Source organism: Homo sapiens, chromosome 4 (assembly GCF_000001405.40).
Source record: "Homo sapiens chromosome 4, GRCh38.p14 Primary Assembly".
NCBI classification, from domain to species: domain Eukaryota; kingdom Metazoa; phylum Chordata; class Mammalia; order Primates; family Hominidae; genus Homo; species Homo sapiens.
This window is the reverse complement of record NC_000004.12, coordinates 88,709,495-88,731,275: the sequence shown is the minus strand read 5'-3', so window position 1 is coordinate 88,731,275 and position 21,781 is coordinate 88,709,495. Positions and strand designations below refer to the sequence as shown.

At 39.8% G+C, this 21,781-nt stretch overlaps 1 protein-coding gene and 1 long non-coding RNA gene across 25 annotated transcripts in view, besides 1 other annotated feature; one reads left to right on the top strand and one right to left on the bottom strand.

The window, feature by feature from the left end:
* FAM13A (family with sequence similarity 13 member A) overlaps nt 1-5,316 on the top strand; it is a 331,226-nt gene extending 325,910 nt beyond the window's left edge. For all 24 annotated transcript variants that reach the window (XM_047449481.1, XM_047449479.1, XM_011531516.2 and 21 more), the window contains one exon: nt 2,617-5,316. In XM_047449481.1, coding sequence (XP_047305437.1) covers nt 2,617-2,743 — 127 coding nt within the window. In that variant the 3' untranslated portion in view covers nt 2,744-5,316. The remainder of the gene's footprint in view (nt 1-2,616) is intronic.
* On the bottom strand, nt 1,173-21,487 carry FAM13A-AS1 (FAM13A antisense RNA 1). Its single transcript, NR_002806.2, has 5 exons — nt 21,011-21,487; nt 19,259-19,421; nt 8,932-9,125; nt 7,961-8,067; nt 1,173-3,441 (listed from the first exon to the last, which is right to left on the bottom strand). It is a non-coding gene; the product is annotated as an FAM13A antisense RNA 1 (long non-coding RNA).
* Nucleotides 9,865-10,366: an enhancer, noted in NCBI's record as "H3K27ac hESC enhancer chr4:89642061-89642562 (GRCh37/hg19 assembly coordinates)". NCBI's record gives its function as "activates a minimal SCP1, AML or CMV promoter by ChIP-STARR-seq in naive H9 embryonic stem cells {active_cell/tissue: H9 hESC(naive)}" and the evidence as "EXISTENCE:reporter gene assay evidence [ECO:0000049][PMID:30033119]".
* Nucleotides 21,488-21,781: the final 294 nt, after the last annotated feature.

The window sequence follows — 21,781 nt, the reverse complement described above, 5'->3', positions numbered from 1 at the left end:
CCCATCCCTCTTGTTTTTCTGTCAGATCTGTGGAATGCCTTCAAAGGGGGGACTCTTCTGCATCCTCCCTGTAACCTGGTCCTTGGGTTTGTGCCCAGGGACACTTAGAGGTTGACTGTGAGATGATGGGATTTGTGTGGACCTCCCAGAAGAAATGCTCTTTGGGTAATGCCCAAGACTAATGCAGATTCAGCTGACATTTATGAAATGAACCTGTCCCATCAAATTCTTATCTACAATGAGCAGCAGGAAGCTGCGTTTCCCGCTGGTGGTGGCACCAACGCTTTTTTCTTAAGAAGCTAGAGGTTAGCCAAGCGGCCGTAGTGGCACACCTGTAGCTCTAGCTACTTGGGAGGCTAAGGCAGGAGGATTGCTTGAACCCAGGAGTTTGAGGCTGCAGGGAGCTGTGGTCTGCTACTGCACTCTATTCTGGGCAATAGAGTGAGACTTCATTTCTAAATAAAAGGAGCTAGAGAAACAAGGGAAAGAGAGATCTAAGTATTACTGATTTTCAAGCTCATTTCAAAAATGAAGGTGATAATTGCCAAGTTTAAATGAAAAATATGTATGAAAATCAGTAAGTCGGCCAGGCGTGGTGGCTCACGCCTGTAATCCTAGCACTTTGGGAGGTCAAGGAGGGTGGATTACATGAGGTAAGGAGTTCAAGACCAGCCTGACCAACATGGTGAAACCCCATCTCTACTAAAAATACAAAAAATTAGCCGGGTGCAGTAGCACAGGCCTGTAATCCCAGCTACTCGAGGCTGAGGCAAGAGAATCACTTGAACCCGGGAGGCCAAGGTTGCAGTGAGCCGAGATCACGCCACTGCACTGCAGCCTGGGCTACAGAGCAAGACTTCGTCTCAAAAAAAACAAAGAAAAGAAAAGCAGTAAATCTACCTGGTTGATGGGCTGCCTCTCGCCAGTGAATTTTAAGGCACAATTTAGTCTTTCATGTTTACAAGCAACAGCACACAAAAATCTTACCGAAAGTCACAGTAGGAGCCTGAGGAAAGAACCAGGAACAGATTTGCATCTCTTACATTGGAGTTAGGTTTTATCATTTTAAATTGGATTTAACCCAGATTACTGAAGCTATGTAAGTATTGTTTCTCTTGAGTCCTCTTTTATACTTCTTGAAAGTTTGGGGAAATGAAAGCACCATAAAAATTAACTTTGTCATTTAAAATATATTGTATTTCAGTTTAGTTTAACAATTATTGTATGAATTTACTTTTAGGATCTCTGATTTGGATATGTCTCATATATTTTTATACCTAAACACTTGCTTTTCATTTCCCACCCATTGCACAGTATTTAGAAAATATAGGTAAGCAAATTTAAGTAGTAATTCCCAAAACAATAATAACCAAAGACAAGTCAGAATTAATGTTTTGACGTGTATCTTTCCAGTCTTTCATCTAAGCCTATTTTTTGGCTTATCCTTTTTTATATTATTCTAAGTCACATTATGCACAGATATCTTATACATGTAGAATTACGCAAACCACCCAGGTTTTAAGAAAATGTCAATGGAGGACGTTAACTTAATTGTCAAAAAAGTTTAGAACTATGAGGGACTTAGGAGATAAGCTCTGGTTCCATGACTTCGTGTCTGAGGAGAGTGAAGCCCCTCAGAGTGCAGTGGGGGCCTGCGTGCCAGATGCTCCAATTCCTGAGCACCTGTTCCTTGCCCTGCCCTCTGCTGAGAAGCCACTAGAATCCTTTCCTAGAACAAGGCAGGGTATGAATAAGATCAGTTTATTTTTAGGTCATTGAACAAATCAAGCCCCATGCTATCCTCCTTACCCATATTTGCCCTTTAATAATAAAGGCAGGAAGCCTATGGTTGAATGTTTGCCATGTGCAATTTCCCATAAAACACAAAGCAGCAGCGCACCGCGTGGTGGCCAAGAGCAGGCAAGTTATCTGATTTCCTGTGCTGGTTTCATCATGTGTAGTGTGTAGAAAATGGCTGCATCTCATCAAGGTGTTATAAGGGTTCTATCAGATCATGGGTACAAAGTACTTAGCACAGGGCTTGACCTATAAGCTCTCAAATACTTGTGCATATAAATATTATGTATGTAAAGTTACTCAATAATAAAGGCTTATTATAATAGTATTATGTAATCCAGCTGCTGAATTCTAACACAGTTTTATGATAAGTAGGAGTATTAACTATCTGTTTTTGGAAAAAAAAAAAAAAAAAAAAACTAAGTTGTGGACCAGTTGCTAATTAAAAATTTAAAATTTCACGAGATGAAATATATAAGAATGAGAAAACATTAAGTATGAATAAAAGATTTTGGTGTATGAGAGCTCAATGTGAATTCATACTTAGCAGAGAGAATTTCTGCATTTCTTAGCCTTCTTATCATACAGGATGCCAGATTAACTATATAAAAACTCAGTTGCATGTTGCCTTCTGGGTGAAACATTTTCATTACTTGTCTAAATCCAGCCCCAGTCTTGAGACCAAGGGCCACTCGGCAACACTGATTCTACAAGTTGATAAACTGCAAAGTTTCTAAACAATGATAATTTGCCCGATGAATAGTATCTAGCAAAGACAGAAAATGATCCTCAGACCCCTTTTTCCTTTATTTGCATTAGAAATGTCCAGAAGGAAGACCGCACTCCTATGGCTGAAGAATACAGTGAATATAAGCACATAAAGGCGAAACTGAGGCTCCTGGAGGTGCTCATCAGCAAGAGAGACACTGATTCCAAGTCCATGTGAGGGGCATGGCCAAGCACAGGGGGCTGGCAGCTGCGGTGAGAGTTTACTGTCCCCAGAGAAAGTGCAGCTCTGGAAGGCAGCCTTGGGGCTGGCCCTGCAAAGCATGCAGCCCTTCTGCCTCTAGACCATTTGGCATCGGCTCCTGTTTCCATTGCCTGCCTTAGAAACTGGCTGGAAGAAGACAATGTGACCTGACTTAGGCATTTTGTAATTGGAAAGTCAAGACTGCAGTATGTGCACATGCGCACGCGCATGCACGCACACACACACACAGTAGTGGAGCTTTCCTAACACTAGCAGAGATTAATCACTACATTAGACAACACTCATCTACAGAGAATATACACTGTTCTTCCCTGGATAACTGAGAAACAAGAGACCATTCTCTGTCTAACTGTGATAAAAACAAGCTCAGGACTTTATTCTATAGAGCAAACTTGCTGTGGAGGGCCATGCTCTCCTTGGACCCAGTTAACTGCAAACGTGCATTGGAGCCCTATTTGCTGCCGCTGCCATTCTAGTGACCTTTCCACAGAGCTGCGCCTTCCTCACGTGTGTGAAAGGTTTTCCCCTTCAGCCCTCAGGTAGATGGAAGCTGCATCTGCCCACGATGGCAGTGCAGTCATCATCTTCAGGATGTTTCTTCAGGACTTCCTCAGCTGACAAGGAATTTTGGTCCCTGCCTAGGACCGGGTCATCTGCAGAGGACAGAGAGATGGTAAGCAGCTGTATGAATGCTGATTTTAAAACCAGGTCATGGGAGAAGAGCCTGGAGATTCTTTCCTGAACACTGACTGCACTTACCAGTCTGATTTTATCGTCAAACACCAAGCCAGGCTAGCATGCTCATGGCAATCTGTTTGGGGCTGTTTTGTTGTGGCACTAGCCAAACATAAAGGGGCTTAAGTCAGCCTGCATACAGAGGATCGGGGAGAGAAGGGGCCTGTGTTCTCAGCCTCCTGAGTACTTACCAGAGTTTAATTTTTTTAAAAAAAATCTGCACTAAAATCCCCAAACTGACAGGTAAATGTAGCCCTCAGAGCTCAGCCCAAGGCAGAATCTAAATCACACTATTTTCGAGATCATGTATAAAAAGAAAAAAAAGAAGTCATGCTGTGTGGCCAATTATAATTTTTTTCAAAGACTTTGTCACAAAACTGTCTATATTAGACATTTTGGAGGGACCAGGAAATGTAAGACACCAAATCCTCCATCTCTTCAGTGTGCCTGATGTCACCTCATGATTTGCTGTTACTTTTTTAACTCCTGCGCCAAGGACAGTGGGTTCTGTGTCCACCTTTGTGCTTTGCGAGGCCGAGCCCAGGCATCTGCTCGCCTGCCACGGCTGACCAGAGAAGGTGCTTCAGGAGCTCTGCCTTAGACGACGTGTTACAGTATGAACACACAGCAGAGGCACCCTCGTATGTTTTGAAAGTTGCCTTCTGAAAGGGCACAGTTTTAAGGAAAAGAAAAAGAATGTAAAACTATACTGACCCGTTTTCAGTTTTAAAGGGTCGTGAGAAACTGGCTGGTCCAATGGGATTTACAGCAACATTTTCCATTGCTGAAGTGAGGTAGCAGCTCTCTTCTGTCAGCTGAATGTTAAGGATGGGGAAAAAGAATGCCTTTAAGTTTGCTCTTAATCGTATGGAAGCTTGAGCTATGTGTTGGAAGTGCCCTGGTTTTAATCCATACACAAAGACGGTACATAATCCTACAGGTTTAAATGTACATAAAAATATAGTTTGGAATTCTTTGCTCTACTGTTTACATTGCAGATTGCTATAATTTCAAGGAGTGAGATTATAAATAAAATGATGCACTTTAGGATGTTTCCTATTTTTGAAATCTGAACATGAATCATTCACATGACCAAAAATTGTGTTTTTTTAAAAATACATGTCTAGTCTGTCCTTTAATAGCTCTCTTAAATAAGCTATGATATTAATCAGATCATTACCAGTTAGCTTTTAAAGCACATTTGTTTAAGACTATGTTTTTGGAAAAATACGCTACAGAATTTTTTTTTAAGCTACAAATAAATGAGATGCTACTAATTGTTTTGGAATCTGTTGTTTCTGCCAAAGGTAAATTAACTAAAGATTTATTCAGGAATCCCCATTTGAATTTGTATGATTCAATAAAAGAAAACACCAAGTAAGTTATATAAAATAAATTGTGTATGAGATGTTGTGTTTTCCTTTGTAATTTCCACTAACTAACTAACTAACTTATATTCTTCATGGAATGGAGCCCAGAAGAAATGAGAGGAAGCCCTTTTCACACTAGATCTTATTTGAAGAAATGTTTGTTAGTCAGTCAGTCAGTGGTTTCTGGCTCTGCCGAGGGAGATGTGTTCCCCAGCAACCATTTCTGCAGCCCAGAATCTCAAGGCACTAGAGGCGGTGTCTTAATTAATTGGCTTCACAAAGACAAAATGCTCTGGACTGGGATTTTTCCTTTGCTGTGTTGGGAATATGTGTTTATTAATTAGCACATGCCAACAAAATAAATGTCAAGAGTTATTTCATAAGTGTAAGTAAACTTAAGAATTAAAGAGTGCAGACTTATAATTTTCATAAGTACTTTTATTGTGTTCAGTCTGGCGTAAACGTTGAAATAGATGTTTATATTAAGTATGATATCATTATGTTTCATCTTTGAATCATTTAGTTCAGATTCACTTTCTAAGACTTGTAGGTGCAAGATTTAGGATAAGGGACAGCTTAGAAGTTTTTCAAGATGGTAGAAGTTTGTCCTGTGCTGCTTTAAAAAAAATAATAAAAATTTAAAAAGCTAGCACAATTTTGGTGACCTCCCAAATGAGGGAAAATTTCCGTGAAAGACCAAATTTCAAACTGGAGTACTAAAAATTATTTTTTTAATTACCAGCTAGGATGTTGTCAGCTGTTAAGATTTCTTCCATTTGCCTACCAGTTCAAAGTCAAAAGAAGATTATTACTCATTGCAGGGATCAGTGATGTCTCTGTAACATCAGTGTAATTTTTGCTTTGTCTCATAATTCATTGCTTGGGTGGCAGCGGAATAGCCTCTTGCAGGGTGTGCCTGCTCCCAGGTGTGACATTTCCAGCCAAGGACAAATGCCTCAAAGCTGTGTTGTGTCATAAATGCCGCACTAAGGTATCCCAAGACCAGCAGTCTTGGAACCCCGAGGGCTGAGCATTTGTAAATGTGGTTGAGCTTAGAATTCCTTATAAGGTGAATATTTAGGTTTGTTATCATCATAAAGGGATGGCCATGGTGCTAATCAAGCTGGTTCTGCCCAGGGGTTGCCTAGTTCTCAAGAGACGACAGAATTGGGCCCTGTGTCCAGAACTAATCACAGAGTTTAACTTTTTGGATAATTTTTGGTTTTAGAGCTTTTTAATCTGATAAACATGCCATTTTCTTAAGAGTAACACCTTATGCTTTTGGTGGTATATTTATTTATAGTTGAACACCATAAACTGCTAACAGCTTTGTGAAAGCTAGCTGTAGTCTAAATTCTGTTTTGCTTTCAAGAGGGGTCTTCCTGACACACTGCTTGCTAGCTTATTTTCCCCTAGTCAGGGAGAGGTGGTTTCTGCACCAAGATCAATGCCTCTGTGATATTTTTTCAGTATCCACTTAGTTAAATCAATGAGGAGGGACAAACTATACTACAGTCTTGAAGCACTGTTTCCTCTGAAGCTCTTGTGTTTGACAGAACTCAGAAAGTGCTTTCCTTTCCTTCATTAATTTCCTTTTACTGTTTTTTTTCCACTTGACACTCACTCAAAATATATACTAAAGAGTAGACTGGCTAAACATATTTTCAAATTTTTATATATTCAAATTGTGCACACTGGCTCTACTTTAAGTGGTGACCAACACAGCACACACCAAACAGAGTCACGTATAAATGCTGGGCACTGCACAGTGGCACTGGCCACTTTCCCAAGCAGAGATCACGTGTGTGCCTCAAAACACAGGTTTGGCAAATCCTCCAACTGAAAACACCTATACAGTCATGAAAATCTCCACAAATAATAGTTTTTGTAAAAAATATGGGCTCCTAACAATATTTACATGACATGTAAGCAGAAGGCATTTGAAATTACCATTGTCCTTTTTAAAAATGTAAACTGAACAAAAAACATTTTATACATGACTATTTTGTATAAATGTAAAATATTTTAAACTATGAAAGTGCTAGAATTTTTGACAGTGGCATCAGGATCAGGGTCTGACCTTTCCCTTCTTTAAGTAATCCTGTGACTCCCTGGAGCCCCTCAGAAGCCTCCTGAGGATTAAGTTTTGTTGTTCTAGCTCCAGGCAGGGCACTGGAAGGTGATGCGAGCTGAGCATACACTTCAGGCATGTCCGTTTTGCAGCTAGAAAAATGGGCTTGTGCTCTCATGGCTCAGTTGCCTTTAAAAAATTCATAGAAAGCACTGGAGAAGTGCAGAAATGAGGGAATTAAAGCAAATTTTTAAAAATTAAGTACATCTCCCAAGCCAATGAGGCCATCATGAATAAATACATTAGCCATTTACTATTCTGAAACTAGTAAGGCCACCAGAGAACTGAGAGACTTGCAGAAACACACATTTCAGTCGTGTGGAGGGAGCACCTCACCCTTTGCACTGCCTGTTCCTTCCTATCCCTGGCCAAGTGTGCCCTCCTCGCTCAGGCCTCGAATAGCCTGGAGAGTTGGGCAGCAGGAGTTCCATGCCTCACCTGACAGCTGGGGACACAAAGCTGCCATGGTGGGTAGGCATGCAGTGTCCTTCATGTGCTGCTACACATTCTCTAAGTGACAGAAAGTAACCATTAGAAATATGCTAAGCCTGAAATTAAAAAATAAAAAAAGGCTGGAATAAGGTCCTAGTGCTAAAACAAGGATTCAAACTCAAATCTGTCTGACTTCGGAGTACAAAGATGCAATACTGCTAACACAGATGCAAGTTAATGCTGTCCTGCCAAAACTGAAGCTCACCCTGAATAATTTTGGTAACTCTGGGCTCAAGTAATAAAATTTGGGCAGAAATGACAAGCTATATTTAGTGATTCTCACTTTCTTTAATCTTCTGATGTTGCCTCTTTTGAGGGACCAGAAAGTTACACAAGCCCAAGTACACCAGGTTCCACAGCCTAGTACAAAGCCTGATGTCCTCTGAACCCCCCAACAATGTCTTCACTTCTAATCCTATCATAATTTGCAGAACTGTGAAGTACCTGAATGGAAATTTCAGAATGGAGACCCACACAGGGTGGGGGTGGGCTGAGGAGAGGCATGCCCTCCCAATGGCCTTACTACCTCTTCCAGCCATGGATTCTGAATCCTGTAAGACAAAAGTACATCAGAGTCATCCCTGACTGGGTCAGCTCACCAAGGCTATATATACACAGAATTTCACATTCAGTAAAAGTCAAAATTCCCAAATGCAGTCTTAGAATCCTGGCAGGCACACAGACAAATGGGGCTTGGCAGGTCTGGGATTGTTGACAGCTTGGTCCTCACTCTTCCCCTCCAGCCACAAGGCTTAGACAGCAAGGGTGACTCCGTGTTATGCTGCAGCTGCCCGGAGACAGGGCCCAATGCAAACCTCAGCAAGAACTCAGTTCTGACACCAAGAAGATCCCCATGTTACTATGAATTCTGAAATTATAATCTTTTAGATGTCTGGATTTTTCTTTAATTTCTGTAAAGCAATTCAAAGATGCACAGAAATCTTCATGTCAAGCTTCTGATCCTACAGCTTTGAGTATTTCTTGGTAAGCCATTTTGAGGCACTATGATTTTCTATAACTTTTAAATAATTTAAAATTACCAAACAAGATGAGACGAAGGGGAGGAAGAGAGTAAAGGATACATTCCTCCGTAGTGGCAGAAAGCAGTGCGGCTCAAACTTGGATGCACATGCGCCTGCCTGGGGATCTTGTGCTGTAGCTCCAGGGAGTGCCTGATGTTCTGCATTGCTGACAAGCAGCCAGGTGCTGCCGTGTTGCTCGTCCAGGGACCTCACTTTAAATAGAGGGTGCAGACTGCATCCTGGGTGTTTGTGAAAATGAGCAGCTCCACCCATTAATCCAAAACCCTGAGTTAACAGAGACCAGCACATTTGACAACACCCTCGGAGGCCGAATGCTGCCTCAATGCTTGAGATGCAGACAGATGGCTCAGCTGTACGATTTGGGTTACTTACCCTCCAGAAATCTGTTTCTTTTTCTGAAAAGCGGTACCCATGTAATCAGGTGATTATGAAAATTTACTTGGATGACTGTAAAGTGACCACACAGTAAATCCTTAATAGATGATGGTAGATGGGGTGGTTACTGTCATCAGCCATCAAGGCAAAGATTCTTCCTATCTTGAAGTCCAGCAACACATTCTGAATCCCTGCAAAAAACGAACTGTATTTCCTGGTATCATTTCCCCCACCATCACCCTCTGATCCTTGTTTGTGTGAATCAGAAAGAGAATACAAGTTATTGCTAGCAGGATGAGCAAGGTTCCATGGGAACATCATCCCATTCTCTTGGGGGAATAAGATAAATTGTGACTATTACTATTTTCCAGCAAATCACATCAAAACTTGTGCCACCTTCTTAGAAAAATTAATCCTTGCTAAATTCCTTCTCTCACAGAGCAGGGAAAACCCCTCTAAGCCCACTTCTCCTCAAAACATTTTGGGAGGTCCAGATCTGCTCCAACATGTAAAAAGAATAAACCATTGAGATGGCAGCTGAGACCAACATGGAAATGCCTGAGCTGTGTGGAGTGAAGGAACAGAGTAACCTTTGGATGGATTTCAAAGTCACTTAAGTGTCCCAAAATTTCTGTCTCAGGGTGTATTTTTAACAACTGAAAACTAAACGTCCCCTTGGGAGGGGAGTTGCTCTGATTTTGGCAGCTCCTAATCAACATACTAAATTTCATCGAAACCTGTGGCCAAGGCTGACATTAAGAAGGGACCTGGGGTCCTCCACTCCCTCATCAACCCGTACAGGGGACAACCTGAAGGTGCCATTGCCGAGGCCAGCAATAGGGCAAGCTTTCCCATTCAGGTGACTTTGCAGTCTCATTGAATGAGGCTTTGCGTCCCTCCTCTCATTACCTCAGACACTTAGAACTTCTAGGTCTTTTCTCCAATCTGCCAGTGACTTGAACTTGAGAGTCCCTGAACCTGGTTCACAAACATCTGAGTTCCGGAGAACGCCCAGGCATGAAAGGCCAAGAGACTCATTTTTTAACCAAAACAAGACGCTTGGGCTGTGGCAGGCCAGCTCTGCTGGGACCAGAAGCCAGTACCTAGTTGGCACCTGCTGCCGACCTTCGTCCTCAAGAGCACCAGCCTCTTATGACCCAGTAGGGAATGGGGTTACAGTGTTTCAGAATCTGCTCTTGCTTTCTGATCCTCCTAATCCTGAAGAAAAGGTGACCACGAAAGACTAATCTGGTTTAGTGTTTGGCTCCATCTGAGGGTGTGTGGGTGTGTATTTTAATTCTTGTTTAAGTTTCTCAGTAAGTTCAACACCAGCAGGAGCTGAATCAGTAATTATCATAGACTGTCTCCAACTCTCATGGGATTAGGCCCAGGAAAATCAGCTTTTAGAAGATCTGAAGACCATGTGATTCTGTGCCCTGCCAAGTATCCAGCCACGCTGGAGGGGGAAACAAAAAAGATGACATCTGGATTAATTTTCTTGGTGCTACACATAACTAAGGAGTACACACTCCATTATTTTGGGAGGAAATAAAGCACCAAAGCCTGGACTAGCTAATCCACGGGAGAGGCTGTTATTAATACAGATCCAAAGAGTCTGCCCACACTGTAGTGGATGCCTCTTCCAGCACCTATTCTGTTGTATATCCCAGTATCTCACTGCACAAGTAAAGGGCACTACAGATGTTAATGCAAATCCATGCCTGATCAGTGTGGACAAGCAGCCCTGCCTGCATCTGAGGCAGTCTGTGTTAGCATCCCTAAGGAGAGAACTGTAGTCAGAGAGCAACATTTGCCACCCGCTCCACGGGGCTCTGCTCTCATGGGATTCATTCATCACTCATTACCAAAAACCTGGATTGGAAGGCACTGTGGTAGGTTCTGTGTCACTTCCCACTGGAGAACTCCCTTGGTCCAAAATCAGTAGGATAATGTTCACCGTTTTTGAAGAACACAAGGACCTGCTCTCTTTGTCCTCTTCCTTATCACAAACTCCTGTTCTGCTTTGTGAGATCCTATTCCCCAACAGAAGTCTGTAAGTGGAGCCCAGGAATGGTCCCTATCAATACTCCACAAAGGCACCTCAAAAATGGAGACATTCACAGAGCAGAGTACTCATAACTCATGGAACCTCTGCCACTAACGAAGTTAAGTTAAAGGTAACGTAGGCATCACACTTAGGCACTTTAGAGATGTAGTTTAAAATTTGCTTGGTTACATTTTAAGAGTCAAAGACGACAAGACGACCAACACATACATTTCTCATTAAAAGAAAATAATGAAATTCTGAAGAGTAGCTTTGATTTTAATGAAAGTATTTGTTTTTCCTCCAATACTTCACCCTAACATGAAGTATTCTATTCATTGGGTTTCACTGCAAACATATTTTGCTATTCCAGTGTATGCCTCCCTTCACTTTAATCTCTATCATCTGATTAACTACTATGTGTCCATTAATTCCAAACTATGATTCTGGAAGAAATGAACAGATACTAAGCAAAAAAAAAATTTCCAAAGGATGGGGGATTCCGTGGAAAACTAAATTTGAGAGGAGGTGGAGGGGGGGAGGAAACGAAGGAAAAGAAGAAGGGGAAGAATGAGAAGGAAGAGAAGGAGGAGGAGAAGAAGGAGAAGAAAAAAGGAGGAGGAGAGGAGAAAAGGAGGAGGAGGAGAAGAAAAGAAGGAGAAGAAAGAAGGAGAAGGAGGAGGAGAAAGAGAAGGGGGGGAGAAGGAGGAGGAGAAGAAGGAGAAAGGAAAGAGAAGAAGGAGGAGGAGAAAAAGATAGAGGAAGGAGGAGAAGGAGGAGAAGGGAAGGAGAAAGAGGAGGAGGAGGAGAAGGGAAGGAGGAGGAGGAGGAGAAAAAGGACAAGGAGAAGTAGGAGGAGACAGAAAAAGGAGAAGGAAGAGGAGGAGAAGGAAGAAGAAGAAGAAAGAACTAGTAGTCGTTGTGCAATAAAGTTTAACTTTCTTTAAATTAGAGACAGCCAAACTTATATAATACAAATCTCCTTTTTCTTCCTTATTCAAAGTATTTTTCCCACAGGAAGATCTGCTTTTTGCCAACTATTGAGGCCTCAATGCTTACTCATACTGCTGAGAACACAGAGCTGCTTGCTGAGGAAGGGCCCAACTGTGTGCTGATGGTCTCCCAGGGCCCATGGAGTGGCCTGATGACTTACCTGCCTGCCCGAAGAGGCCCTTCACTTTACCCTATGTCCCAAGATTGTACAGCATGACTGTCTGGGGAGGTGGAGGGGCACAGAGGATTTGTACTCTCATATCTAGCCAGAGACAAAGCCTGGAATCCCAATATTTACTAAAAGCCTGTTGAAATACATGCACTGTGGGATCCTCAATTAGACCTTGGGACAGACATCAGTGGAAAAACTGGTAAAATCAAAAAAAAAGAGTGAAGTTTCATGAATAGTAATTTCCCAATATTGGTTCCTTGGTTTGATAACTATACCACGGTGCTATGTTAACATTTGGGGATACTGAGTGAAAAATCAAATAACTCTGTATTATTTCTGCTACTTTTCTATAGATCTAAAATTATTCAAAAATAGAGTTTCAGAGTGATATTAGCAAGATGGTGGAACAGACAATCCCCCAGCATCACGTCCCTGACAAAAATACAATTAGAAACCATTCAATGACAAGAATACCACCATGAATATACCAGAACTCAGAGGGGAAGCAGAGAAACCACCAAGGCACACAGAATTGAGAGAAGCCATGACAGGTAGGATGAACAGTCATTTAACACTGTGCCACCCCTTCCCCTAAGCTGGCATAGTACCACTCACAGAGATTTTCCCTAGACCCATGGTTGCTAGTGAAGGAGGGAATTGGAGGTGAATATTCGATCTCCCCACTGGTCTAGGAATCTTCATGCGAAGTCCATTCTGGTCCTATTTGATCAGAACCATTGGGAGTGTCAGGAAAGCTTAACTACTTGGGGTGAGGTGGAAACAATGACCTGGGTGTTCATCACAGAAAGCTGATCTCAGCACTCTGATCAGTGGGGATGCCAAGTTAAACAAACTGGCCAGGACCATAGTGCCTCAGGGGCACAATCCAGAGGAAGGCCCAAATCCCCAGCTGGGTTTTCCACAAATCCCAGGTGCGTGAGTGGAGCCTTCCTCTAGCTCAGAAACAACTAAAAGGTCGAGATTAAGTTCCAGTGCCCATTTAAGTCTTCCCCAGACTGGAAAACAACGGCAGGGCAGCAGTGTTGTTTCAGGGCAGCATTTAAACTCTGGTATTTGCTATAAGTCTTCTCCAGACAAGGAAACAATGGCAAGGCAGCAATTTAGTTCCAGAACATCATTTAATTTTTGATATTCACTGTGCCTTTGCGAGACTGGAAATGACAACAGGGCAACAAGTTCATTCCAGTACAGTCGTTTAGTTCTGGTGCTCAATATAAGTCCTCCCCAGAATGGGAAGTGAAATTTGAAAAACAATCCAGAAACAAAAAGAGACAATGACAAAGAAATAGAAAAAATTAAAAGAAATCAAAGAGAAATCCTAAAACTAAGAATACAATAACTGAACTGAAAAACTCCTGAGAAAGCTTTAACGGCAGACTTGATTAAACAGAGGAAATAATTAGCAAGCTTTAAGCCAGAACATATGAAATTACCCAGTCAGAGGAGTAAACAGAAAAGAGAATGAAAACAGTGAAGAAGGCCTACAAAAAATTATGTTACACCATCAAGTGTACTAACCTCCATGTAATTGGAATTCCCACAGCAGACAAGGAAAAAAAAGGCCTAGAAAGTATATTTAAAGAATGAATGGCTGAAAATTTCCCAAATTTAGAGAAAGACGAACAGCATCCAGGTACAGAAGCTGAGAAGTCACCAATCAAATTCAAATGAAAGAGGAATTCTCCCCAAGGCACATCATAATCAAATTAGCCAAAATCAAAGACAAAGAGAAAAAAACTCCAATCAGCAAGATAAAAGAAACATACCACATCCAATACAGCTTTCAGCAGACTTCTCAGTGGAAACCCTACAGGCCAGGAAAGGGCATGATGTTATATTCAAAGTGCTGAAGAAAATGTCAACCAAGAATACCCTACCCAGCAAAGCTATCCTTAAAACACAAAGGATAAGAAACACAAACATACATACAAAAGCTGAGGGAATTAATCAACACCATACCCATTTTATAAGAAATGCTAAACAGAGTTCTGCAATCTGAATATAATGGGTGCTAACATGTAATAGGAAAACATCTAGCTGGATATGGTGGCTCATACCTGTAATCCCAGCACTTTGGGAGGCTGAGGTGGGCGGATCACTTGAGGCCAAGAGTTTAAGACCAGCATGGCCAACATGGCAAAATCCCATCTCTATTAAAAAAAAAAAAGTAATAAACAAGACATCTGAAGGTATAAAACTCACTGGTAAAAGTAATAGACAAAATCAGAATAATACTGTAAATGTGGAAAGTAAACCGCTTATATCACAAGTCTGAAAACTAAAAGACAAAACTATTAAAAACAATAATAACTGTACAAATTGGTTAAGGATAGGCAATATAAAAACATGTAAATTTTTTAACAAAAAGTCAAAATGTGGGGGGTGGATTAGACTAGAGTTTATTTTTCATAGTTTTCCTTGTAATAAAAGTTAAATCATTATCAGTTTAAAATAACCTGTTACAATTCTTAGATGTTTTTGTAAGCCTCTTGGTAACCACAAAGCAAAAACCTATAATAGATGTGCTAAAAATAAAGAGCATAGAATCAAAACACGTTACTAGAGGAAATCACTTAATCACAAAGAAATATAGGAGGAAAGGAAAAACAGAAGAAAGGATCTACAAAACAACCTAGAAACAAGTAACAAAATGGCAGTAGTAAACCCTTAACTATCAATAATAGTCTTGACTGTAAAGGGATTAAATTCTTAAACTAAAAGACATCCAGAGGCTGAATGGATTTTTTTTAAAAAATACAAGACCAAAGTCTATGCTGTCTATAAGAAACTCACTTCACCTATAAAGACACCCAGACTGAAAGTGAAGATATGGAAAAAGATATTCCATGCAAATGAAAACCAAAAAAGAGCAGGAGTAGCTACAATTATATCAGATTAAGAATGATTAAAAAAAAAAGACAAAAAGGATCCCTTTATAATGATAAAGGGGTCAATTCAGCAAGAGGATGTAACAATTGTAATATGTATCCAACACCAGTGCACCCAAATATATAATACCAATATTAATAAACCTAAAGGGAGAAACTGAATGCAATACAATAATAGAGGACTTCAATAACTCACTTTCAGCAATGGGCAGGTAATTCTGACAGAAAATTAACAAGGAACATTGGAGTTAAATCGCATTTCAGATCAAACAGACCTAATAGACACTTACGGAACACTCCATCGAACAGCTGCAGAATACATATTTTTCTCAAAAGCAAATGGAACATTCTCCAAGACAGACCCAATTCTTAACAAATTTTTATTTTTATTTATTATTTTTTTTTTTTTGAGATGGAGTCTCGCTCTGTTGACCAGGCTAGAGTGCGGTGGCACGATCTCGGCTCACTGCAAGCTCCACCTCCCGGGTTCACTCCATTCTCCTGCCTCAGCCTCCCGAGTAGCTGGGACTACAGACGCCTGCCACCACACCTGGCTAATTTTTTGCATTTTTACTAGAGACGGGGTTTCACCGTGTTAGCCAGGATGGTCTCGATCTCCTGACTGTGATCCGCCCACCTCGGCCTCCCAAAGTGTTGGGATTACAGGCATGAGCCACCACGCCCGGCCAACAAAGTTTTAAAAGTTGAAATCATATCAAGTATCTTTTCTGACCACAATGGAATAAAACTAGAAATCAATAACAGAAATAATGTTGGAAACTGTACAAATTCATGAAAATTAACATGCTTCTGAACAATCAATGGGTCTATGAAGAAATTTAAAAGGAAATCTAAAAATTCCTTGTGACAAATGAAAATGTAAGCACAACATACCAAAACCTATGTGATACAGCAAAAACAGTTCTAATGGGGAAGTTTATAGGAATAAACACCTCCATCAAAAAATAGAAGTATTTCAAATAAACAGTCTAACCATGCACCTCAAGGAAACAGAAAAGCAAGAACAAACCAAACCCAAAATTAGTAGAAGGAAAGAAATAATAAAGATCAGAGCAGAAATAAATTGAGACTAAAAAAAATACAGAAGAACAAAAGTTGTTTTTTTAAAAAAATAAGCAAAATCAACACACCATTATGTAGACTATTTAAGAAAAAAAGCGAGAAGGCCCAAATAAATAAAATCAGAGAAAAAAAAAGAAGACATTACAACTTATACCACAAAAATACAAAGAATCATTAGGACCATTATGAACTATATGACAACAAATTAGAAAACCTAGGAAAAAAAGATAAATTCCTAAATACATATAACCTACTAGGATTGAACTATGCAGAAATACGAAACCTGTAAGACCAACAATGAGTAACAAGATTGAACCAGTAATAAATCTTCCCATCAAAAAAAACAAATCAAAACAACACAAAAAAACCCAGAACCTGACAGATTCACTGTTGAATTCTACCAAACATTTAAAGAAGAGCTAATACCATTTCTATCCAAACTATTCTAGAGAATTAAAGAGAAGGGAATACTTCTATGAGGCCAGCATTACCCTGATATCCAAACCAGACAAGGATATAACAAAAAAATGATCTGATGTCTCTGATGAACATAGATGCAAAAAATCCTCAAGAAAATACAAGCAAACTAAATTCAACAACACATTAGAAAGATCTCACATGATCAAGTAAGATTCATCCCAAGGATACAAGGATAACATAAACAAATCTATAAACGCAATACATCACATTAACAGAATCAAGAAAAACCATAAAATCATTTCAACAGGTGCTGAATAAAGTATTCACTAAAATTCAACATCCCTTCATAATAAAAACTCTCAAAAAACTAGGTATACAAGGAACATACTTTAAAACAATAAATCCCATATATGTGGCAAAATCCTGTCTCTACAAAAAATACAAAAATTAGCTGGGTGTTGGGGTGGCTCACAACTGTAGTCCCAGCTACTCAGAAGGCTGAGATGGGAGGATTGCTTGAGCCCAGGAGGTAGAGGTTGCAGTGAGACAAGATCATACCACCAGACTCTAGCCTGGGTGACAGAGCAAGACTCTGTCTCCATAATAAGAGGAAAACTGAAAACATTTCCTCAAAGATCTGGAAGAAGATAAAGATGCCCACTTTCACCACTTTTATTCAACACAGTACTAGAAGTCCTAGCCAGGGCAATTAGGCAAGAAAGAAGCGGCATCCAAATTGGAGAGGAAGAAGCCTTGTTCTTCCTCTCACAGGCAAGAACATGTATCCTTGTTCACAGGCAACATGATCTCATATTTAGAAAAATCTAAAGACTCCACCAAAAACTATTAGAACTGAAAAATTCAGTACAGTTACAGGATACAAAATCAACATACAAAAATCAGTAGCATTTCTATACACCAATAGCTAACAATTTGAAAAAGAAATCAAGAAAACAATCCTATTTACAATAGCTACAAAAAATTAAATACCCAGGAATAAATTTAACCAAAGTGAAGGATCTCTATAATGAAAACATAAAACACTGATGAAAGAAATGGAAGAAGACAAAAATAAATGGAAAGATTTCCCATGCTGATGGATTGAAAGAGCTAATACTGTTAAATATCTATAGTACCCATGGCAATCTACAGATTCAATGCAAGCCCTATTAAAATACCAATAAAATTCTTCACAGAAATAAAAAAAAAACTATTCTAAAATTCGTATGTATCACAAAAGACTCCTAATAGCCAAAGCAACCCTGAGAAAAAAAAGCTGAAGGCATCACATTACCTGACTTAAAAATATACTACAGGCAGGGCGCGGTGGCTCATGCCTGTAATCCCAGCATTTTGGGAGGCCGAGGCGGGCGGATCATGTGGTCAGGAGATCGAGACCATCTTGGCCAACACGGTGAAACCCTGTCTCTACTAAAAATACAAAAATTAGCTGGGTATGGTGGCAGGCGCCTGTAGTCCCAGCTATTTGGGAGGCTGAGGCAGAAGAATGGCATGAACCCAGGAGGTGGAGCTTGCAGTGAGCCAAGATCATGCCACTGCACTCCAGCCTGGGTGACAGAGCGAGACTCCGTCTCAAAAAAAAAAAAAAAAAAAAACTACAAAGCCATACGAACCAGAACAACATGGTACTGGCATGAAAACAGGCACATACATAGACCGATAGAACAGAATAGAGAACCCAGAAATAAATTCACATGTTTACAACCAAGTCATTTTTGACAATGGTGCCAAGAACATACATTAGAAAACGGACAGCCTCTTCAATAACTGGTGCTGAGAAAACTGGATATCCATATGCAGAAGAATGAAACTAGATTCCATACCTCTCACTATGTATAAAAAACAAATCGAAATTGATGAAATTAAGACCTGAAACTATTATATAAAACTGCTAGAAGAAAAACATTGGGGAAATGCTTCAGGACACTGGTCTGAGCAAAGATTTTTGGGTAAGACCTCAAAAGCACAGGCAGCAACAGCAAGAATAGATAAATATGATTACATAAAGCTAAAAAGCTTCTGCACAGGAGTGGGAACAATCAACAGAGTAAAGATACAACCTACAGAATGGGAGGAGATATTTGCAAACTGTCTATCCAATAAAAGATTAACCAGAATGTATAAAGAACTCAAACAATTCAAGAGTAAAAAAAAAAAATGTGATTTAGAAATGGGCAAATGATCTAAATAGACATTTCTCAAAAGAAGACATATAAATAGACAACAGGTATTAGAAAAAATACTCAATATCACTAATAATGAGGGAAATGAAAATCAAAACCACAGTGAGATACCATCTCATCCTTGTTAAAATGGCTGTTATCTAAAAGACAAAAAATAACAGACACTGGCAGGAATGCAGAGAAAGGGGAATGCTCACACCCTTTGGTGGGAATGTAAATTAGTGCCAGTATAGAAAACAGTATGGAGATTCCTCAAAAAACTAAAAATAGATCTACTATATGATCCAGCAATCCCACTACTACGTATATGCCCAAAATTTGAAAGGAAATCAGTATGTCAAAGAGACATCTGCATTCCCAAGTTTGTTGCAGCACTGTTCACAATAACCACGATATAGACTCAACCTAAGTATCCATCAACAGATGAATGGATAAAGAAAATGTGGTCTATAAACATGAGGGAATATTATTCAGTCATGAAAAAAGAATGAAATCTTACCATTTGCAGCAACATGGATGGAACTGGAGGTCACGATGTTAACTGAAATAAGCCAGGCACAGAAAGACAAATATTGCATGTTCTCATTCACATGTGGGAGCTAAGAAAGTTGCTCTCATGGAGGTAGAGAATAGAATGATAGTTACCAGAGGCTGGGCAAATACTAGGAGGAGAGGGATAAAAAGAGGTTGGTTAATGGGTACAAAAATAACAGTTAAATGGAATAAGCTCTATTGTTTGATAGCACAATAGGGTGGCTATAGTTAATAATTTATTGTATGTTTAAAAATAGCTAGAAGATTTGGAATGTAACCAACAAAAAGAAATGATAGATGTTTTGATATCTTAATTACCCAGATTTAATCATTATGCATTCATTGTATGCTTGTATCAAAATACCACAAGTACCCCATAATACGTACAACTATGTACCAATAAAAAAGTATTCAAAAATAAAAAGCTTATTAATAAAAGAAAAAAAAAAATCTTCTGAAAAAAAGAATTCTACAGAGAAGGATCCCCTAAAGGGTATGAAGTCCATCCCTCTCTCAGTGTTTTACAAAGGGGCCTGTCTTAGTCCAGTCAAGCCACTATAACAAAATGCCAAACACTAGGTAATTTACAACAGAAAATCATTTTTCACAGTTCTGGAGGCTGGGAAATCCAAGATCAAAGCACTGGTGGTGTCTGGCGAGGGCCTACTTTCTCACAGATTGTGCCTTCTTGCTGTGTCCTCACATGGTAGGGAAGGCAAGGCACCTCTCTGGGTTCTCTTTTATAAGGGAACTAATACCACTCATGAGGGTTCTGCCCTTATGATATAATCACCTCCCAAAGACCTCACCTCCTAATACCATCATCTTGGGGGCTAGGTTTCAACACATAAATTTTAAGAGGGAAACAAACATTCAGACCATAGCAGTGCCCACTGGCATCTTGGGCAGGATAAAGAGGAATTGTTCTATGCAATGCAAGGCATTAAGCATACCTGGTTCCTGGCTACTAACTACCAACAGAGACCTCCAGCTTCACTTGAGACCCACTGCAAATGACATGAGAACTGCACTGATCACTACTGAATTGCACACTGGCAGCAAAACAAAATTCAGTGTGATGTCTTTGCAGATACGTGGAACTCAGTGCGATGTCTTTGCAGATACGTGGAACTCGGTGCGATGTCTTTGCAGATATGTGGTCAAAGAAGTTACCTGCCACATTACAACATTCCTTTTTATTTGGCTACTGAGCAGCCTTAATCCAATTTGTTGCCCATCTCTAGCAGCTGGGCATAACACAGATTAATGGTCAAGTCCAGGTCCCACTATTTTGTGATAATGAGCAACTATTTTCTCTAATTAATTCCTTCATGTGAAAAACTGGGATAATGGTAATTCTAAGTACTGAGAGCTTATTATGTGCTAAGCGCTATTCTATATGCTTTCCATTAATTCATTTAATCCTCACAACAACTCCATGAGGTAGGCACTATTTCTGTTCTCATTTTGAAGAGGAAGAAAATGAGACATAGGTTAAGAAACCTGCCCAAGGTCAAACAGCTAGTAAATAGCAGAGCCAGGAGGACCCTGGTAATGGCAATTAAACTAGTTAGTGCATAGCAAATGTTGGTGCAGGATCTCATATGGGTCTGGTACACTGCACACAATTAATACAGGTTAGTTATTATTAGGTCGAAACCTTAGTATTAATATCTACTTCTGTGGGTTAATCTTAGTTAAAACTTGATTTTCTTACCTCTGAGGCAAATAAGCCCAAACAGTTGTTCTCTCTGATTCAACATCAAATTATGACTCAAGTTCCTCCTAACACTTCAAGAAGGTTTTTCACTCTGTTACTGTAATTTTTGCAAGTCTGGTCTCATAAGGATTGGTCAGTTGTTTTCTGTAAAGGGCTAGATAATATGTTAGGCATTGTAGGCCATCCAGTCTCTGTCATGTATCCTTCCAGTTTTAAAGTTTTCAACCCTTTTAAAATGTAAAAACCATTTTAGCCCATGGGCCATAGTTTGCCAACCCCTGCTCTCTGGGATTATTAATAAGAGTACCATATAAAACATCAAGAGACTTTCACATGGAGTAGATGGAACTATCAGAATTTGCTAATTGCCTCATTACACCGTCATTGATCCCCACCCACCACAATAAAGTTGCCAGATAATTTCATTAAAGTGGTAAATGACTAAAACAATGAAGAAGCATCTGAAAGTTTTCAGGGGAGGGAAGGTTGGTAGGTGGGTAGGCAAATCCAGAAATGCCTATGCAGAAGATTTAAGTCTTCTAAAGCATTGGTAATGAAGGGGAAAAGGAAACTATCTTAGAAAAATCATAGTGTTTTAGAAGCAGCATAAGATATCATTCATGCAACAAATCTTTAGAAATATGTATTGGGTATCTCTATGTTCAGGCACTCTCTCAGTAATGGAATTATAAAATTTTAGAGCTCAAAGTAACCTTAGAAATCATCTGATCCAATCTCATTTCATGGATGAGAATTCTGAGGCCTCAA